The 18,440-nt window shown below is 35.6% G+C and overlaps 1 long non-coding RNA gene across 1 annotated transcript; it reads right to left on the reverse strand.

The window, feature by feature from the left end:
* Positions 1–12,301: 12,301 nt before the first annotated feature.
* Positions 12,302–17,984, reverse strand: LOC124901172 (uncharacterized). Its single transcript, XR_007059123.1, has 2 exons — positions 17,825–17,984; positions 12,302–14,090 (listed from the first exon to the last, which is right to left on the reverse strand). It is a non-coding gene; the product is annotated as an uncharacterized LOC124901172 (long non-coding RNA).
* Positions 17,985–18,440: the final 456 nt, after the last annotated feature.

Consider the following 18,440-nt stretch of genomic DNA (forward strand, 5'->3'; position numbering starts at 1 on the left):
CGAGGTCAGGAGATCGAGACCATCCTGGCATCCTGGCTAACATAGTGAAACCCTATCTCTACTAAAAATACAAAAAATTAGCCGGGCGTGGTGGCAGGCACCTGTAGTCCCAGCTACTCGGGAGGCTGAGGCAGGAGAATGGCGTGAACCTGGAAGGCAGAGCTTGCAGTCAGCCGATCGCGCCACTGCACTCCAGCCTGGGCGACAGAGAGAGACTCCGTCTCAAAAAAAAAAAAAAAAAAAAAGGGATAGTTTATCTTCTAGAATCATACCTGAAGAGACTTTGGTCAAAGAGTTTCAAAAGCACTCATCTAGTCCAAACTATGGTCATCTCCTCAAGACAAATATGTGAAGAGAAGATTCACTAAGCTTAAGATAAAGGTATTGGGATTATCACTATCAATATAATTCATCTGTCATTTCTACTACACGCACTTGGACTGTATCCTACATATTTTAGCAGTATTTGTAAGTATTGAGCTGTGCATTCTTCAGTGAGAAATCTTATCAAAATTTATGTTTACTTGGATATATAGATATCAACGAAAAATATTTTTATATATACCTATTGTTTTTTTAATAATAACATTTAAAGGAAAGTCAAACAAACTTACTACTTAAACAGTATGAACAGTGAGTTATATAGGCTTGTATTCTTAAAATAAAACCCTAATATGCATATGTAAAAAAGGATTTATTAAGTTCTACAAGGTAAGCATACCATACACAATTGCAGGAAGTGCAGACATGTCTCAGAAATACAGAAGTGACAGGAAGTTACTCTTTCCTTTTACATTCTTCTCATGATTTTTATAATTCCATTTTGATCCTCTCTTCCTCTCTCTCAAATTGTTGCCTTATCTGTTCATACATATTTATTCATTATTTACTAGTAATCTCTCCATCTTGAGTCTATGGAAACTTGGAGTTCATGTTTTTTAAATGAGGGATTAACTCTATTCAAATGTCAGTCAAAAAATTGAGGAAAATGAAGTTATATGATTTTAAATCAGGTGTCCATTTGTGACTGTTGGCCATGATATTGTTGAGGGCAAATTCTATTAGAAGGCATTTTGCAATCAATGCTTATCTAATATGCTGCCTGGTTAAAATACATAACACCAACCTTTCTCCCCAAATATATACGTTAACAACATCCCTTAGCATCATAATCTAGCCACATTAGTCTGTTTTCACACTGCTAATAAGGATATACCCAAGTAATTTACAAAGGAAGCAGGTTTAATGGACTCATAGTTCCACATGGCCGGGGAGGATTCTCAATCATGGTGGAAGGCAAAGGAGGAGCAAAAGCACATTTTACATGGCTGCAGGCAAGAGAGTTTGTGCAAGGGAACTCCCATTTATGAAACTATCAGAACTCCTGAGAATTATTCTCTATCATGAGAAAAGCATGGAGGAAACTGGCCCTGTGATTCAATTCTCTCCACTTGGCCCCATCCTTGACATGGAGGAGGATGGTTATTGCAATTCAAGGTGAGATTTGGGTGGGGACACAGCCAAACCATATCAGTAGCAAAGTATGTCATGCATAAATTTGACTTCTATCCTCCTCCTCAATAAAGGCAAACAAAAATGACAGATTTTGCATTTTTAGATAGACTCATAAGGTCATTTTGAATATGGCTAAACTAAGAAGTATATCTTCTTCAAGTAATTGACAACTGAACACACATAATATTAATCACTATGCCATGTAGGCCACACATTTTTAAAAAGAGCCAAGATTTGCTGTAAAAAGTGGCTAGAAGACTAAACCTGGAATTTAAAGCTGTTTTACCCAATACAATTTTATGTTCTCAATGAAGTCGCTGAAAATCTAAGCACAATATTGGAGAAACTCAAAGGTATAAGGACAAAAATTAGAGTTAAATGATCTGATAATAGAAGCATCAGTATACTCAGACTTTGAGTTATATCTCATACAGCTTAACTAAAAATACATACATTTGTACAAAGTAAAGGCTAGTTTTGCACCCTCTGAATCTCTGATTGTTGTTAGTTGATCTGGCATTTTAAAGACTTTGCTATTTGCCAGCAGTAAACATAAATTATCTCTGAAGATAACATCTTCTAAGGCCTTATGTTAACTGAGCTACATGAAATATATAATAAGTAAAGACGTAAGAAATATGACTGGCCCCATCGTTGTTCTCAGCCTTGGGATGCTTGTCTTGGGCAAACTTGATGTAGACTACAGGAGCAACCAATAAGTAAAGAAAGACTTCAGCATAACTCTCAAATTATGCACAATCCAACAGATAGCTGAGTGTAGATGATAATCATGGCAAGATTCTTGATTATAACTGGTGATTGTCCAGCAAAAAATGAATGGGTACACTATTTTTTTATATTGTTATCTCAGTAAAAAGAAACACTTCTTCTAGATGAGGTTTCTTCTCCATCCTATTTTCTCATATAGATTTGTATGGCTTTTATCATACCAACTGTGTCTGAAAGCCTTAGGTCTAACTCTGGCAGCTCTCCTCTCTCCAACAACCCAAGGTGTATGCTAGTTCTCCTGAACATTAACAAAAAAGATTAAGCATTATAAGGTTGTTTTAGTGCCTATATGTTATGTGCATTTTCACTTCCTTATTTCAATGATATATTATTAAGTACTGATACAACCACATTGTTTTATTCTATTGATCATGGTCTATCCATATTTGTGAAAATTACTGCAAAATTTTAAAACATAAATCATGAATTCTAGGGATGATAGTTTATGTCACTGTGTATTCACATACTTTTAGAAAATACACATTTCAAGGGGATCAATATTTGATCAATTATTTTTTGTCTGAGCTACATATTCTAATGTTACTTATTTAATTCACAGTAATTCATCATCAGAATTTTTTTCCCAACATTGATTTGCCTGTGATTGCTAGAATTATGCAAGGAAATTGGACTTTTTAAATATATGAGACATAGTTTTAGTATAAGAATGTGGCATAATGTGTAATTTTCTTTTGCAAATTGTATACATGGTGCTAAATAAAAATTATGTCTAGCATTCCCCCTGAGAACCAGAACAAGATAAGGATGTTCACTCTCCCCATTCCTATTCAGCATAGTACTAGAAATCCTAGCAAGAAAAATCAGGAAAGAGAAAGAAATAAAAGGCATCCAAAATAGGAGGAGAGAATGTTAAACTATCTCCTTTTTCAGGCAATATTATTCTATACCTAGAAACATACAGTGTCTGCCCAAAAGCTCTTAGAACTGATATACAACTTTAGTAAAGTTTCAGGATACAAAATCAATGTACAAAAGTCCATGGCATTTCTATACACTGATAATGTCCAAGCTGAGAAGCAAATTAAGAATGCAATATCACTCACAACAGCCACAAAAATAATAAAATAGCTAGGCACACAGCAAACCAAGGACGTGAAAGATTCCCGTGGCAAGAATTACAAAACATTACTGAAGGAATTCAGAGACCGCACAAACAAATGGCTAAAACTTTCCATGCTCATGGATAGGAAGAATCATTATTACTAAAATGGCCATATCGCCCAAAGCAATTTACATATTCAATGTTATCCCTATCAAACTATCAACATCATTTTTCACAGATTAGAAAAAAAAAAACTATTCTGAAATTCAAATAGAACCAAAAAGGATCCCGAATGGCCAAATCAATCCTAAGCAATAGGAACACAACTGGATGCATCACATTACCCAACTTTATACTACAAGGCTGCAATAACCAAAGAGCATGGTATTAGTACAAAAACAGACAGGTGGGCCAAATGACCAGGTTAGAGAACACAGAAATAAGTCTGCACAGATACAACCATCTGTTCTTCAACAAAGTTGACAATGACAAGCAATAGAAAAAGAACTCCTATTTAATAAATGATGCTGCAATAAACATACGTGTGCATGTGTCTTTAGAGCAGCATGATTTATAATCTTTTGGGTATATACCCAGTAATGGGATGGCTGGGTCAAATGGTATTTCTAGTTCTAGATCCCTGAGGAATTGCCACACTGACTTCCACAATGGTTGAACTAGTTTACAGTCCCACCAACAGTGTAAAAGTATTCATATTTCTCCACATCCTCTCCAGCACCTGTTGTTTCCTGACTTTTTAATGATCGCCATTCTAACTGGTGTGAGATGGTATCTCATTGTGGTTTTGATTTGCATTTCTCTGATGGCCAGTGATGATGAGCATTTTTTCATGTGTTTTTTGGCTGCATAAATGTCTTCTTTTGAGAAGTGTCTGTTCATATCCTTCGCCCACTTTTTGATGGGGTTGTTTGTTTTTTCTTGTAAATTTGTTTGAGCCCATTGTAGATTCTGGATATTAGCCCTTTGTCAGATGAGTAGGTTGCAAAAATTTTCTCCCATTCTGTAGGTTGCCTGTTCACTCTGATGGTGGTTTCTTTTGCTGTGCAGAAGCTCTTTAATTTAATTAGATCCCATTTGTCAATTTTGGCTTTTGTTGCCATTGCTTTTGGTGTTTTAGACATGAAGTCCTTGCCCATGCCTATGTCCTGAATGGTATTGCCTAGGTTTTCTTCTAGGGTTTTTATGATTTTTAGGTCTAACATTTAAGTCTTTAATCCATCTTGAATTGATTTTTGTATAAGGTGCAAGGTAGGGATCCAGTTTCAGCTTTCTATATATGGCTAGCCAGTTTTCCCAGCACCATTTATTAAATAGGGAATCCTTTCCCCATTTCTTGTTTTTGTCAGGTTTGTCAAAGATGAGATAGTTGTAGATATGCAGCATTATTTCTGAGGGCTCTGTTCTGTTTCATTGGTCTATATCTCTGTTTTGGTACCAGTACCATACTGTTTTGGTTACTGTAGTCTTGTAGTATAGTTTGAAGTCAGGTAGCGTGATGCCTCCAGCTTTGTTTTTTTGGCTTAGGATTGACTTGGCAATGCGGGCTATTTTTTGGTTCCATATGAACTTTAAAGTAGTTTTTTTTCCAATTCTGTGAAGAAAGTCACTGGTAGCTTGATGGGGATGGCATTGAATCTATAAATTACATTGGGTGGTATGGCCGTTTTCATGATATTGATTCTTCCTACCCATGAGCATGGAATGTTCTTCCATTTGTTTGTATCCTCTTTTATTTCCTTGAGCAGTGGTTTGTAGTTCTCCTTGAAGAGGTCCTTCACATCCCTTGTAAGTTGGATTCCTAGGTATTTTATTCTCTTTGAAGCAATTGTGAATGGGAGTTCACTCATGATTTGGCTCTCTGTTTGTCTGTTATTGGTGTATAAGAATGCTTGTGATTTTTGTATATTGATTTTGTATCCTGAGACTTTGCTGAAGTTGCTTATCAGCTTAAGGAGATTTTGGGCTGAGACGATGGGGTTTTCTAGATATACAATCATGTCATCTGCAAACAGGGACAATTTGACCTCCTCTTTTCCTAACTGAATGCCCTTTATTTCCTTCCCCTGCCTGATTGCCCTGGCCAGAACTCCCAACACTATGTTGAATAGGAGTGGTGAGAGAGGGCATCCCTGTCTTGTGCCAGTTTTCAAAGGGAGTGCTTTCAGTTTTTGTCCATTCAGTATGACATTGGCTGTGGGTTTGTCATAGATAGCTCTTATTATTTTGAGATATGTCCCATCAATACCTAATTTATTGAGAGTTTTTAGCATGAAGCGTTGTTGAATTTTGTCAAAGGCCTTTTCTGCATCTATTGAGATAATCATGTGTTTTTTTTCTTTGGTTCTGTTTATATGCTGGATTACATTTATTGATTTTCGTATGTTGATGCAGCATAGCAAAGATTTGGAACCAACCCAAATGTCCAACAATGATAGATTGGATTAAGAAAATGTGGCACATATACACCATGGAATACTATGCAGCCATAAAAAATGTTGAGTTCATGTCCTTTGTAGGGACATGGATGAAGCTGGAAACCATCATTCTCAGCAAACTATCACAAGGACAAAAAACCAAACACCGCATGTTCTCACTCATAGGTAGGAATTGAACAATGAGAACACATGGACACAGGAAGGGGAACATCACACATCGGGGACTGTTGTGGGGTGGGGGGAAGGAGGGATAGCATTAGGAGATATACCTAATGCTAAATGACAAGTAAATGGGTGCAGCACAGCAGCATGGCACATGTATACATATGTAACAAACCTGCACATTGTGCACATGTACCCTAAAACTTAAAGTATAATAATAATAATAATAAAATTTAAAAAATAAATGATGCTTGGAGAAGTGGCTAGCCATATGCAGAAAATGGAAACTGAACCACTTTCTTTCATCATGTACAAAACTCAACTCAAGATGGATTAAAGACTTAAATTTAAAACCTAAAACTATAAAAGCCCTAGAAGAAAGCCTAGGACATAGCATTCTGGACATAGGCCTTGGCAAAGATTTCAGGATGAAGACTCCAAAAGCAATTGCAACAAAAACAAAAATTGACAAGTGAGATCTAATAAAACTAAAGAGCTTCTGCCCGGCAAAAGAAACTATCAACAGAGTAAACAGACAATCTATAGAATGATAAAATAAATATTTGCAAACTCTGCCTCTGACAAAGGTCTAATATGCAGATCTATAAGGAATGAAATTAAATCAACAAGCAAAAACCAACTTCATTAAAAATGGGCAGAGGAAATTAACAGACACTTCTTAATGAGGACATACATGTTGCCAACAAGCATATAAAAAATGTTCAAGATCACTAATTATTAGAGAAATGCAAATCAAAACCACAATGGATTACTATCACACCAGTCATAAGGGCTATTATTAAGAAGACAAAATGTAATAGATGTTGGTGAGGTTGCAGAGAAAAGGGAATGTATATCCAGTGCTGGTGGGAATGTGAATTATTTCAGCCACTGTGGAAAGCAGTTTGGAGAATACTCAAAGAACATAAAACAGAACTATAATTTGACCCAGCAATCCTATTACTTGGTATATACCCAAAGGAATATAAATTATTCTGCCATAGAGACGCACACACAAGTATGTTCATCACAGTACTATTCACAATAGTAAAGACATGGAATCAACCTAGATGCCTGATACGGTTAGGTTTTGTGTTCTCACCCAAATTTCATCTTGAATTGTAATCCGCATAATCCCCATGTATCAAGGTGGAGACCAGGTCGAGGTAATTGAATAACGGGGTTGGTTCCCCTATGCTGTTTTCATGATAGTGAGTAAGTTCTCACAAGATCTGATGGTTGTACGAAGGGCTCCTCCCCATTTGCTCGGCATTTCTCCTTCCTGCCACCTTGTGATGAAGGTGCCTTGCTTCCCCTTTGCCTTCTGCTATGATTGTAAGTTTTCTGAGGCCTCCCCGCCATGATGAACTGTGAGTCAGTTAAATTCTTTCCTTTATAAATTACCCAGTCTCTGGCAGCTTTTTATAGCAGTATGAAAACAGACTAATACCATGCCCATTAATGGTGGACTGGATTTAAAAAATGTGATACATATACATCATGGAATACAGTACAGTCATAAAAAGACTGAGGTCATGTTCTTTGCAGCAACATGGATGTAATTGAAGGCGATTATCCTAATGAAATCAACACAGAAAATCAAAAACACATTTTCTCAAATATAAATGGGAGCTAAATATTGAGTACACACAGACCTAAAGAGGGGAACAGTAGACACTTGGGCTTACTTAAGGGTGGAAAATTGAAGGAGGGTAAGGTTGAAAAACTACTTATCAAGTACTCTGCTCACTATCTGGGTGATGAAATAATTTGTACATCAAACCCCAGAAAGATGCAATATATGCATATATCAAAACTGCTCATGTATTCCCTGAATCTAAAATGAAGATGGAGAAAAATACTTCTAAAGACTGAGGAAGATACTGTTTTCCATAATGGCTGTGCCAGAATTACAATAACCCTAACAGTGTACAAGGATTCTCTTTCTTCCACATCCATGCCAACACTTTTTATCATTTGGCTCTTTGATGATATTTTCTAACAGGTGTGAGGTGATGCATGTGTGTGACTCTGTTAGTATTAAGAAAATGTATTTATATACCTTTTCTGTAGATCCAAAACCATACAACCTCAGATATAATATGTTCAAAGAAGAAGATGTATTGAGAAGTTAGCTTTGTAAAGTTATAGCATTAAAATTTTCAAAAGTATGCTCATTGGGCAGATTCATGATTTTCTGCTTTATCAATTTCCAGTATGTTTATGGAATATGCATACATGCTCATCAAAAATGTGTGCCAGGGTTACTTATTTAAACCATCTCTGTTTCACTCACAAAAGCATATATGATCACCCTATTTATATTGAAGATGTAGCTAATAAAATTAAGACTTATTTTTAAAATGGTATAATGATTCATGGCATATATAAGCAGTCAAAGACAAAACCGACTATGAACCAGGTCCATTCCAATTAAGTTAAGCCCCAGAGTAGAAGAATGACAGTGATGTCAAAACATTTTATTTGTTTCTGTATCTTTCCCTTATAAATAAGTCTCATTTCTTTCTACCAAAGCCAGATGTCAGTGAGTGCTTAAATGATTTGAACAATAAAGTAGGATTTAAAAATTAAAATGTTTTCATTCTCCGAAAATAGCCTAAAAGTAATTGAGTAATTGTAGCACATTTTAAATAAACTTTAGAGATGTAAAAATTAAATATAAAGATGCACCACTTAATGCTTAATTTGATAAATTTTGATAAAAATATACACTAGCATAACTAGCACCACAACCAAAATATAGAAAATTGCCATTAACCACTCCTAAAATATTCTTAGCAATCATTCCTTACCTTGACCTTGTGTAATCACACCTGCTTTCTATCATTATAGATTTATTTTTCTTTTATTTATTTAGGTTTTTTTTTTTTGAGACAGAGTTTCGCTCTTGTAACCTGGGCTAGAGTACAGTAGCATGATCTTGACTCACTGCAACCTCCACCTCCCGGGTTCAAGCAATTCTCTTGCCTCAACCTCCTGAGTAGCTGAGAATACAGGCGTGTGCCACCACACCAGGCTAATTTTTGTAGTTTTAGTAGAGATGGGGTTTCACCATGTTGGCCAGGCTGGTCTCAAACTCCTGACCTCAGGTGATCCTCCCACCTCAGCCTCCCAAAGTGCCGGGATTACATGCATGAGCCACTGCACCCAGTCTCATTATAGATTTAAAAGCTTTGCTTTGTTGCTTTGTCTAGAATGTCATATAGAAAATTAATTATACAATTGTACAATATGTATTTTTTTGTTTCTGTCTTATTTCATTCAACCTAATGCTATGTATTTATGTAGAACATTCTTTTATTGCCAAGTAGCTTTTCATCCTGTGGAATTTACCTATCAATCACATATTTTTATTCATTTTTCAATTGATAGGCATATGGGTTGTTTCCAGTTTGTGGCTATTATGAATAAAACCACTATAAATATTTATATACATATCTTTACACAGATATGTGATTTTGTTTCTTTTCAGTAAATACCTAGCAATGTATCACTGAGTCATACGTTAAACTGATGCTAATAAGACTGCCAATTGTTTTTCAGAGGGATGGTATATTCCCACCAGCGATGGATGCGAGTTCAGTCACTCTACTCTGAATGTTCATCAACACTTATTATTGGCAGTGGGGATTCATTATTGTTGCTCTAGTTGTTTTTGCTGGGTTGTTTTGTTTACATTTCATTTTAGTCTTGCAATAGCATATTCTTGTAGTCTTATTTGCATTTTTCTAATGAGTAAAAATGTCAAGAATACATTCTTGTGTTGTTTTTTTTTGCTCTCTGTATCTTTTATAATGTGACTTCCAAGTTTTGTTTTTTGTTCTTGTCTTTTTATTTATTTAGTTTAAAATTTATTTTAACTCTCATTTCTTCCTGCATGTGGCTAGCCTTTGCATTTTATTAATCATGTCTTTTGAAAAGTAAAATTTCTAATTTTGATGATATTTATCTATTAAAATATGTTATGAACTTTCTGTGTGCTGTCTGATAAATATTTGCATATTAATTGTTAAAAAAATTATATTATTTCTACTAGAAATTGTTTACAGTTAGTTTTTACACTTGGGACATTTATAAAGTTAATATTTGCTGAAAGCAATTCTCACTGAACACTCACTGAAAGTGAAATATAAATAAGAGTTTAAATTTTTACAGGAATATCCAGTTGCTTCAGCATTATTAGTTGAAATAAGCATTCTGTCTTCATTGCATTAAATTGACATCTTTAATAAAATTTTAATTGACCACGTGTATATGGATCTCTTTCTGGACTCCGTTTTCAAATTCATTGACCTAAGTGTAAAACATGTTGTAAATTTGGTAATAAATAAGATACTTAGTTGGATTATTTTGTTTTATCAATTCACGATTTAAAAATCTAGTCTTCATGATTTGAACATCAACAACCTCAGATGTTTGATATTTCTGATTAATTGATATTTTTGTTTATAAATTATTAAAAGCATGTATATACACATATATGTTCATATTTATTGTTAGTTTTTAATTTTTATTCATCATTATGTTTTATTTAACTATTATACACTTATTTTATTGAAAGAGATTCCTATAGGTTTTCTTTCACCATATTCTTGTCAGACTTACTCCTCAATGTTCTAGTTATATCCAAAAAACAAATATAATGATATGTATTCATTGTTTAAAGTCCATATTGCTTTTTGTAGCTAATTCATTTTTTAAAAAATTTCTCAAACTTATTGTATATTTATTGAGAAGAATTGCAATAAAACAAAATCAAACCAAAATTTTAGATTGATTGAAATGTATATACCTAAACAATTGTACATATTGTTTGAACACTAAACTCAAAGATTATTAACATAATTGTTTATATAGATAACAACTCTGTAAGAATTAGTAAAGATAGTAATAGGTGTATAAATAATAACAAAATAATCATAAAATTATAATTTTAATATGAAGCTAACATAAAAGAATTAGAGTCAATAGAGAGTATGGGAAAAAACAAAAAAGTTATTTAAGTTTAGTCAATGATTTAGGCCACATTCATAGAGAAATTGCTATATTTCAGGCTCTAAACTTGGCAGACAGCAAGGATATAGAAAAATATGATCATGCAGTAATGGAAATTATGGTATCAGAATCTAGAAAAGGTGACAGTAGACCACTAAAAAAAGTATCTAATATTATTGTAATTAGGACAAATAAAGAGAAATAAAAGGGCAATATAAAATATCGAGTCTTTAAACATGCAGAGTGATTGGAATAAAATTCAGAGACATCATGAAAAATCAATATATGAGAATCAGCAGGAGTGGTCAGTTAGTTAAAATTTAGTCAAAATTATTTTCAAAATGTAAAAATTACCAAATATGTCAACCGCTAAAAGGTGAAGTGAAACTGATTTTCATTTGCATGTGGTTATAAAATAAATTTTCAGTAATTTATTTTCTTATGATAACAAGTTAGTATATATAGAAAAAACCTCATAAAAATGATATGCGAATATTGATATAAGCCATATGGGAATAAATTTAATTAGAATATTTTTAGAGTACAAATGAAAAAAAAGAAACCTATCCAGGGACATAAAAGAAAATTAAAAATAAATGTGTATCTTTTTCTGATGTGAAATGACTTATTGTAGAGGTAGCAATACTTTCCAAATTATTACTATTTTTTTCTTTTCTAAAAGAAAAGATATTTATTTGAAAATAGAGCATTGCAATGGGAATATGTGTGTCATGGTAAACTATGTGTGTATTCATGAGGGTCAAGGAAGACAGATTTTTAAAGGAAAAATGAGGAGAATTACATACTTCTTTTGAGATAATTGTCCTTGGGTACAAGGATCAATAACAAGGGTAGTTTAAGTCTGAGTTTGGACAGGTAGTTTCTGGACAGGTGTTCTTGAAGAAGCATTTTTTGTGTATAGTTGTCATGGCCTTTTTTGCAAGGTTGTGGTATTTGCAAGTCTTTTGTTATGGTTTACGATATCAGGTATTTATGCCTGAGAACCCTTCCCTTAATGGCCTATCTAAGCTCTATTTGTCAAGTGTTTTTCCTTTTTTGGTTTTCTTGTTTGCTTGTTTGTTTTAACATAGGTACTCCATTAAAAAGAAAAAAATACCATCTGTATTAGTTCATTTTAATGCTGCTGATAAAGACATAACCGAGACTGGGAAGAAAAGGAGGTTTAATTGGACTTACAGTTCCGCATGGCTGGGGAGGCCTCAGAATCATGGCAGGAGGTGAAAGCCACTTCTTACATGGCGGCGGCAAGAGAAAAATGAGGAAGAAACAAAAGCAGAAATCCCTGATAAACCCATCAGATCTCATAAGATTTATTCGCTATCATAAGAATAGCATGGGAAAGACGGGTCCCATAATTCAATTACCTCCCTCTCTGTCCCTCCCACAACATATAGGAATTCTGGGAGATACTATTCAAGCTGAGATTTGGGTGAGAACACAGCCAAACCTTATCATTCCACCCCTGGTCCCTCCAAATCTCTTGTCCTCACATTTCAAAACCAATCATGCCTTCCCAGCAGTCCCCCAAAGGCTTAACTCATTTCAGTATTAACCCAAAAGTCCACAGTCCAAAGTCTCATCTGAGACAAGGCAAGTCCCTTCTGCCTATGAGCCTGTAAAATCAAACACAATCTAGTGACTTCCTAGATACAAGGGGGGACAAGTATTAGGTAAATACAGCCATTCCAAATCAGAGAAATTGGCCAAAACAAAGGGGTTACAGGGCCCACGAAAGTCCAAAATCCAGTGGGGCAGTCAAATTTTAAAGGTCCAAAATGATCTCCTTTGACTCTAGGTCTCAAACCCAGGTCACTCTGATGCAAGAGGTGGGTTCTCATGGTCACGGGCAGCCCTGCCTCTGTGGCTTTGCAGGGAACAGCATCCTTCCCTGCTGCTTTCAAGGGCTGGCATTGAGTGTCTGCGGCTATTCCAGGCACACGGTGCAGTGCTCCAGTAGGGATGTTGTGTGGGGGCTCTGACCCCACATTTCCCTTCCCTCATGCCCAAGCATGAGGGCTGCATCCCTGCAGAAAACTTTTGCCTGGGCATCCAGGTGTTTCCATACATCTTCTGATACCTAGGTGGAAGCTTCCAAACCTCGATTCTTGACTTCTGTGCACCCACAGGCTCAATACCACGTGGAAACTGCCAAGGCTTGGGGCTTCCACCCTCTGAAGCCACAGTCCATGCTGTACATTGGCCCCTTTCAGCCAAGGCTGGAACAGCTGGGACACAGGGCACCAAGTCCCTAGGCTGCACACAGCATGGGGACCTTGGGTCTGGCCCATGAAACCACTTTTTCCTTCGGGCCCTCTGGGTTTGTGATGGGAGGGGCTGCCATGAAGATCTCTGACATAGCCTGGAGACATTTTTCCCATGGTCTTGGGCATTAACATTAGGCTCCTTGTTATTTATGCAAATTTCTGCAGCCAACTTGAATTTCTCCTCAAAAACTGGGTTTTTCATTCCTAGTGCATCATCAGGCTGCAAATTTTCTGAACTTTTATGCTCTAGGATGCTTTTAACAGCACCCAAGTCACCTTTTGAATGCTTTGCTGCTTAGAAATTTCTTTCACCAGATATCCTAAATCATCTCTCCCAAGTTCAAAGTTCCATAAATCTCTAGTGCAGGGGGAAAATGCCCTCAGTTTCTTTGCCAAAATATAACAGGAGTCACCTTTTCTCCAGTTCCCAACAAGTTTCTCATCACTATCTGAGACCACCTCAGCCTGGACCTTATTGTTTACATCACTATCAGCATTTTTGTCAAAGCCATTCAGCAAGTCTTCAGGAGATTCCAAACTTTCCTACATTTTCCTGTCTTCTTCAAACTGTTCCAACCTTTGCCTGTTACCAAGTTCCAAAGTTGCTTCCACATTTTCGGGTATCTTTTCAGCTATGCCCCACTCTACTGGTACCAATTTACTGTATTACTCCATTTTCACACTGCTGACAAAGACATACCTGAGACTGGGAAGAAAAGGAAGTTTAATTGGACTTACAATTCCACATGGCTGGGGAGGCCTCAGAATCATGGCGGGAGATGAAAAGCACTTCTTACATGGCAGCTGCAAGAGAAAAAATGAGGAGGAAGCAAAAGCAGAAACCCCTGATAAACCTATCAGATCTTGTGAGACTTGTTCACTATCATGAGAATAGCACAGGATGACCAGCCCCCATGATTCAGTTATCTCCCTCTTGGTCCCTTCCACAACACATGGAAATTCTGGGAGATACTATTAAAGTTGAGATTAGGGTGGGAACACAGTCAACCACATTATCATCTTTACTTTTTTCTTAGACAGAGGCTCACTCTGTTGACCAGGCTAGAGTGCAGTGGTGTGATCTTGGCTCATCACAACCTCCGCCTCTCAAGTTCAAGCAATTTTCCTGCCTCAGTCTCCCAAGTAGCTGGGATTACAGGTTCATGCCACCATGACTCGCTAATTTTTGTATTTGTAGTAGAGACAGGGTCTCACCATGTTGGCCAGGCTTGTCTCGAGCTCCTGACCTCAAGTGATCTACCTGCCTCGGCCTCCCAAAGTGCTGGGATTAAAGGAGTGAGCCATGGAACCTGGCCCTCTTTATCATTTTTTTAAAATTTATTTTTGGGACAGAGTCTTACTCTGTTGCCCAGGCTGGAGTGCAGTGGTGCTATCTCAGCTCACTGCAACTTCCACCTCCTAGGTTCAAGTGATTCTCATGCCTCAACCTCCAGAGTAACTGGGACTATAGGCGCCCGCCACCAAGCTTGACTACTTTTTTTTTGACTCTTTAAATTTCATTTCATTTTATTTATTTATTTATTTATTTATTTATTTCATTTTTTAATTTTATTAAACTTTAAGTTCTGGGATACATGTGCAGAATGTGCAGGTTTGTTACATAGATATACATGTGCCATAGCGGTTTGCTGCACCCATCAACCCATCATCTACATTAAGTATTTCTCCCATTGCTATCTCTCCCCTAGCCCCCAACCCCCGACAGGCCCCGGTGTGTGATGTTCCCCTCCCTGTGTCCGCATGTTCTCATTGTTCAACTCCCACTTATGAGTGAGAACATGTGGTGTTTGGTTTCTGTTCTTGTGTTAGTTTGGTGAGAATGATGCATTCCCTCTTCATCCATGTCCCTGCAAAGGACATGAATTCATCCTTTTCTATGGCTGCATAGTATTCCATGGTGTATATGTGCCACATTTTCTTTATCCAGTCTATCACTGATGGGCATTTGGGTTAGTTCCAAGTCTTAGCTATTGTGAACAGTGCTGCAATAAACATATGTATGCATGTGTCTTTATAGTAGAATGATTTATAATCCTTTGGGTATATACCCAGTAATGGGATTGCTGAGCCAAATGGTATTTCTGGTTTTAGATCCTTGAGTAATCGCCCCACTGTCTTCCACAATGGTTGAACCATTTTTAAGTGTACAGTTCAGTGGTAATAAATTCATTTTTTTTCCTCGATCATCCTCTTCTTTCTCTTCCCCAGCTTTTCAAATTAACAATGTAATCAACTCAGTGATAAAATCGCAATGATATTTTCAGAATTGATAGACAATAAATAGGTAGATAGATACATGGGTAGATGGGTGATAAAACAAATAATAAATAGGAACTTGGATTACTAAGAATTCCACTGTTATCACTGGCTGACCCAATACGCATAACTAACTTCCTCTATTTTACTTATCTTGAATGTAAAGTCTGAGAATGTGCTTGTAGCTAAAGGCTGTTACATGAAATGATTCTGGCTAAAAAAGAAAATCTCGTAATTTGAGAAGGGAAAGTAGGTACAATTGCTAAATGTAGAATAAAATAAGGCAAATGGTCAAAATTTATTTTGAAAACATAGAGAGCCAAAAGGATGATAAAATAACAATAGAGAAAGATGATATTTTAAAAAAATCTGTAAACACAAAAATGAAATACAAAGAACAAAAGCATAATCAATGAAATAGATGAGATGTTTCAAAATGCCGTGTTCCTATAGATAATATATATCATAAAAGGCAAATGTAAGCAATTTGGAAAACTTAATTGCTAATGTGAAATTACAAAACCCCTTGGGTCCTTAACTAAAATATAATCAAAATTTGAAAAAACTAAATATTTTTAAAATACAAGCAAAACAAAATAGTAGTAGGATATTTTTTGTAATATAAAAGTGTGATTAAAATTAATTATAAATGTAGCTGACTTTAAACCTGTAATAAAATGAAAATGATAACCATATCTGCTAAGTTATTGCAATCTATAGTTAAAGCAATAAAAAAGCAATTAGAAGAAAGCATAAGGACTAAAATGAGAAAAATCTTTGCATCATAAATGACAGACAGTTAATAACCCCAATATAAAAAATAATACTAGTTGGTAAGAAAAAGGCAAACCACTTAGAAAAAGCAAGTGTAGTTCCAAAGAGCAATTAATGGAAAAGCAAAACCAATGGGAAGTGTAACTGTTATAATTGTAATAGTTATAATAATATGAAGTAACATAACAAGTAGATATACTTTTTACCCATAAAATTGACAATTTTTTTTAATTAAAATTTTTAAAGTTATTCAGTCTTGCCAAGGAATTGAGCACATTGGTACTTTTATGAGGTGAATGCTGTTGAAACTATCAGTTTCTGGTATCTATGGGGAAGGTAATATAGCTATAGCCACTGATAAAATATATTTAAATCTCAAATAAAGACATATATGCTATAGGAAAAATATCACCCAGATATAAGAATGTATTTTCCAATATCCTTACTTTTTGTACCAATAATAACCATAAAAATAAAAAATACGTACAGGCAGAAAACAATTTAAATGCCCATCAAAAGGATGTTTCAATAATATTGTATATATAAATATACATATATATATATATATATATATATAATTGAAAGTTATTAATCTACTGACTCATTATATCAATCTACACTTATTGACCTAGGGGAATATTTAAGATGTTGTTAATTGGGAAGAAAGATGTATATTACAATTTTAATTTTTTAAAAGCAAATAACCAAAAAACCCTAGATAGATACAAAGGTAGATCATAGGTTGATATGAGAGAGAGAGAGAGAGAGAGAGAGAGAGAGAGAGAAACATGTTTTTAATTGTGCTTTAAGAAAATCAACTATATTCCCTAGGCCATTTAAAATTACAATAAAATGAGAGGGTGTTATAAAAAGGAAAGAAAAAGCTCAGACAGGCCCCCAAATCTTTAGTTGTGGTATTAACACATTAGGTTCTTCATTGCACAAATACCTTTTAATATAAAACAATTAGGGTCCTGCTCAAAAATTAAAAAAAAAACTATACATTGATATCCCAGAAATGCCCTTCATAGTTTGATAATTTTAGCACCTAACTTGTTTTCTTTTATTCCCCTTTTCTATTACCATATTTGGTGACTACCACATCCATTTGATCTTCCTGCTAAGGTTTAATTCTCCTGAACATTCCTTTCAAATTTTCTTTTCTTAACCACTTTCAGCCAACAAACATTTTATCACCAATTTCTATACCACACCTGAAGTCTCAACAGCCACCTATCCATGAGGTGTGTCTACTATCTCCTATCCCACTGACAAAGGTAATATAAGCTCCTGTTCCCCAATATTATGCCACCCAAAACACTTTAAAATTTCAGAAATATTTCTAAATCAAATTCTCTAAGTCACTGACTTCCACACTTGCATGGCAGCCTACACATAAAATCCCAAATCTGGTAAACTCTAACTTACCTACTCTACATTGTTGAGCAAACACTTGACCAGGATACAAATTTGTCAAATGTTCTCACCTTAAACTCAGACCATTAGGGTCAGGCACTGTGATTCACTGCTGTAATCCCAGCAGCACTTTGAGAGGCTGAGGCAGGAGGATGGCTTGAAGCGCAGGAATTCCAAACCAGTCTGGGAAACATAGTGAGGTCTTGCCTGTATTAGTTCATTCTTGCACTGCTATAAAGAAATACCTGAGATTAGGTAATTTATAAGGGAAAATGGTTTTATTGGCTCATGGTTCTGCAGGCTGTGCAGAAGGCATGGCAGCATCGGTTTCTGGGGAGACCTCAGGGAGCTTTTACTCATGGTGGAAAGCAAAGTGGAAGTAGGCATCTTCACATGTCTGGAGCAGGATGGTGTTAAACCATGAGAAACTGCCCCCAGTATCCAATCACCTCCCACCAGGTTATACCTCTAACATGGGGTACTAAAATTAGACATGAAATTTGGGCAGGGACACAGATCCAAAACATATCACCATCTCTACAATAAATAAATAAATGAATAAATAAAAAAAAGAGTTAGGACATTCTCCCTAAATTGACATGAAAACTACTTTAAACCAATGCTTCTCAATCCCTTATATGGAGAGAAATAAGCTGAAAAATTTGCTAATGAAACTTCGATTTAATA

The sequence above is a fragment of the Homo sapiens genome, chromosome 5 (assembly GCF_000001405.40).
Source record: "Homo sapiens chromosome 5, GRCh38.p14 Primary Assembly".
Lineage (NCBI taxonomy): Eukaryota > Metazoa > Chordata > Mammalia > Primates > Hominidae > Homo > Homo sapiens.